Genomic DNA, 4,076 nt, shown 5'->3' with positions numbered 1-4,076 from the left:
CCAGCCATAGAGTGCTCATAGCCATGGAGGAGCAGGACGTGCATGGTCTTTGGGCAAGGTGGCTCATGGGGCTGGGAGCTGGCCCAGACTGGCCCACGATCCACACACAGTCCATGAACGTGGGCCTGGAGGCGAGCTGTACACACCCTGAGTGCCCACATAGAGCAATCTGCCTGGCTACCTCATTACCTAGGCCAGCACCTGGGCCACAGGACAATGGAAGACGCTGCCTTCATCAGAGTGGGCACAGTGCCCGTGATCCATGCAATTCCACAGAACACAGTCATCGTCCTGCTGGGCACCTGACCACCAGGACAAGAATCAGAGCTCTTCGCAGAACAGAAGAAGGGTTACAGAGGGTGGCAGCCAGCAGCCTTGCCGTGGCTCCCCTGAGTGCTGGGGCAGAGGGCAAAGGGTCTGTTCCCTGCATGACCCTTGACCTGAGCTCTGGGACTAAACGGACAAGGCCAGAAACAGAAGAGGGAGGCTGAGGGGCTCCAGGCAGGGACGAGGGCAGATGCCAAGAACTAACTGCTCCAGGGCCTGTGTGGGACCCGGGGTGACATGGCGAAGGGTTGGTGGAATAGTCGGTGCTCTCCGGAAACACAGACCCAATAGGCTGGATGCAGATGCAAACAGATGTAGATGTATGAGAGGAGATTTATGAAGGGAATTGGAGGCTGAGAACTCCCATGATAGGGACAGGCCCCCGGCACATGGAGATCCAGGGATGCCAACACTGCGGCTCAGTCCAAGTCCGAAGGCCTCAGAACCAGGGACGCTGATGGGGCAATTCTCAGTCTGAGGCCAAAGGCCAGAGAACCTGGGAGGCCACGGGTGCATGTTCCATGGTCCACAGGCTGGAGAACCTGGAGGTCCAAGTTCAGGAGAAGATGGATCTCCCAGCTCCACAAGAAAGAGTACATTTGCCTTTCTTCTGCCATTTTGTTCTCTCCAGGCCCTCAGCCCTTGGCCAATGACATAGTGCCTGCACACATTAAGTGAGAGTGTAACTTCCTTACTCAGTACACTGCACCAAATGTCTCTTTGGGAAACAATGCTTTCTCAGCAGAGCCATGGCAGGGCTGCTGGCTGCCACCCTGTGTGGCCCGCCTTCTCTTCCTCAAAGAGCCCTGATCCTCTTCCTGGTGGCCAGGTGCCCAGCAGGATGATGACTCTGTGTTCTATGGAGTTGCATGGATTGCGGGTGCTGTCCCCACTGTAATGAAGGCAGCCTCTTTCATTGCACTGTGGCCCGGGTGCCGGCCCATGTAATGACAAAGCTGGGCAAGACCGCCCTGTGTGGGCACTCAGGGTGTGCATGGCTTGCCTGCAGGCTCACACTCATGGACTGCATGTGGACGGTGGGCCAGCCCAGGTATCTAGATATCTCTTAATCCAGCCACATTGATGCCTGAAGTTACCCATCACATTTGGCAAAGACACTGCTCCTCTTCCACCCTGGCCATTGGAGACCCCAAGTTCAAGGACACTCAGACCTGTAGACCTGCTGTGGATATAAGCACTCAGTGAGCAGCCACCTCACCATGCCGTGAGCAGCAGACATAGACATAGAGACCTGGAGAGGAGGCAGTCACCCTGCTGACACCATTCACAGTCACCAGGCAGGTTAAGGGCCCTTGGAGGGTCCCTCAGGGTTGCCCAGAAACAGCAATGCAGGGAGACTTTGGAAGACTATCGTGGCCTCTCTTCAGTAAGATGAGATGGTCTGGAATTTGCATTGCCGATGTCAATGTGACAATCCTACAATTAGCAAGAGTTTAGGATGGGCTCGAGGGCCATGGTGCCAGGTCCCACAAGGGTAAGAAAGACAAATGCCTCAACTGGAGTTTCCTTTGCCCCTCGCCTCTTGCCATAATTATTTCTAAATTCAATCTGTGTTGTTTGTCTTTCCCTGTGGAATGTTTACATGTCATTCCAGTTTGCAAAAGTAGCATAAAAATACACACACAAAGAAACAGTTCCAGCAGCACTTACTGAAATGTATAGAGAATATGAAAATGCAGAGATAACTGCACATTCAGAAAGAAACACTGAGCACCAATGGAGCTGCATGCAACAAGGTGCAGCCTTCACCTGCCTGTGTGTAGGTAACTCTGGGACCAGGATCCTTGGTGGCTGACAGCCCACCAACCTGGAAACTGCAGATGTATGAGCTGGTGGGCGGGGCGACTATGTTCTTAGATTGTTTAGATGTTGAGTGAACAAGCAACGATGATCATGGTTTGGTGTTCGCCACATTTTGAAAAACAATGCTAAGTGTGATCACATGAATCCACTGTAAATACACATTGAGAGAAAATTACTTTCTCAGATTTCACAAGAACCACCCTGAAGCCGGCGGTGGGAGGGCTGTGTATACCAAGAGATGTCCATCACCATGAAGGAATTTCTTCCTTCTGTAAAGGGGAAAGCAGCATGAAATTAGGGCTCACTGAGCTGTAATTTCTGCCATATTGGACATGACATTGTTTTCTGATAAGAACAGTCAAAGCAAAAATTAAACCAGTTTAAACAAAGCATATTTCTGTTGCTTAAAAGTGGGGAGTCCAGGAGTTCACAGGCTTCAGGAACAGCAAGGTTTGGGATCCCCAGCCACGGACCAAGAGACCCCGTCTGTCTGCCATTACCTCCTGCTGTCTTCTGTGATGCTCCATCCTCAGGTGCAAGCTCCCACAGGTCAGAAGGCATTGCCTCTGGCATCTCCAGCTTGCATTGCCACCACATTCGGTGAGTCCAAGGAAAAGGGCAGTAACTTCCGAAACTGTGGACAAGCTCGGATCAGCCTGGATTGGGTCACGTGTGGGTTTCTGAACCAATCTCTCTGCCCAACAATAAAGCCAGACTGGACCCTGGGGAAGGGTCAGCGGTAACAGGGATTGCAGGATCATAGCAGTAGCTGGGGTAGCACTGGTGGTCGACTGAATAATGGCCTCCAATGATGACAGGGTCCTGATTCCAAGGACCTGTGGCTCTCACCCTACATGGTAAAAAGGACTTTGCGGATGTGGTGGGGGAACCTTGAAAAGGGGAGATCATCCTGGCCTCTCTGGGAGGGTCCAGTTAATCACAGGGGTTCTCAGAAGAGAGAGGCAGGAGCATCCAAGTGAGAACGAGAAGATGTAAGGATGAGCGCAGAGGTGAGAGCAGAGAAGAGGCTATGCTGCTGGTGCTGAGGGTGGAGGAAAGGGACACAAACCAAGGAAGTGGTGGCCTCTGGAAAACTGGAAAAGCCAAGTGATGGTTTCCCCCCTCGAGCCTCCAGCAAGACCAGCCCCGGCAACACCTTGACTTTGTCCCCATAGAAATCGTTTTGGAACTCTAACCTCCAGAGCTGCGGGATCATGAATCTGTGTCATGTTAAGCCACTGAGTGTGTGACCACTCATTGCAGCAGCCACAGGAAACTGAATGCAGTGTTGACAGTGACAGCCACAACGGCCAGCAGTCCAGAGAACTACGAGTGTACCAGACACACTTCCCCTGAGAAAGCTGCCTGTGCACGGTGACTCCCCAGCAACCCCGGAGGGTAGGGCCTGCTTCATCCTCTCCACTTTCCCCATGGGAACTTGAGGCATGGAGAGAAGAAGACATGTGTCCAAGGTCACCCCTGTAGGAAACAGCAGGCTAACTCCATGGCACCCTGCCCAGAAAGATGGGTGAGAACCCACAGGCAATGAGGCTTGCTCAACAGAGGAAGTAGGTGGCAGGAGGTGGCCAACAGACCAGAATAGACCTGCCAGCCTCTGCAGAGTGGCCTGGGCCCGGGCCGTGTGTCCACTGGGTCAGGATCAGGGTTGGTGAGATAGCATCTCAGGAGGGAGCAAAGCAAAGGGGCTTCTCTGCATTTAAAAGTCTAATCACAGCTCTCAGGCATCATGTTTGGAATAGCCGTGCTCATAGAGCCCCCGTTGAGAAGTGTTCTCTCCTTTTTAATAATAAATATAGCCTTAAATCGCCTACTAAACTATGTGAGAAAGAACCATAAAAGCATGCAGCCATTGGCTTGAGAAATTCAATACCTTGGCAATCAGCATATTTGTCCCAACAGAAGGA

The sequence above is a fragment of the Homo sapiens genome, chromosome 5, assembly GCF_000001405.40.
Source record: "Homo sapiens chromosome 5, GRCh38.p14 Primary Assembly".
Lineage (NCBI taxonomy): Eukaryota > Metazoa > Chordata > Mammalia > Primates > Hominidae > Homo > Homo sapiens.
The sequence above is the reverse complement of the archived record's forward strand: the minus strand, read 5'-3'. Positions refer to the sequence as shown.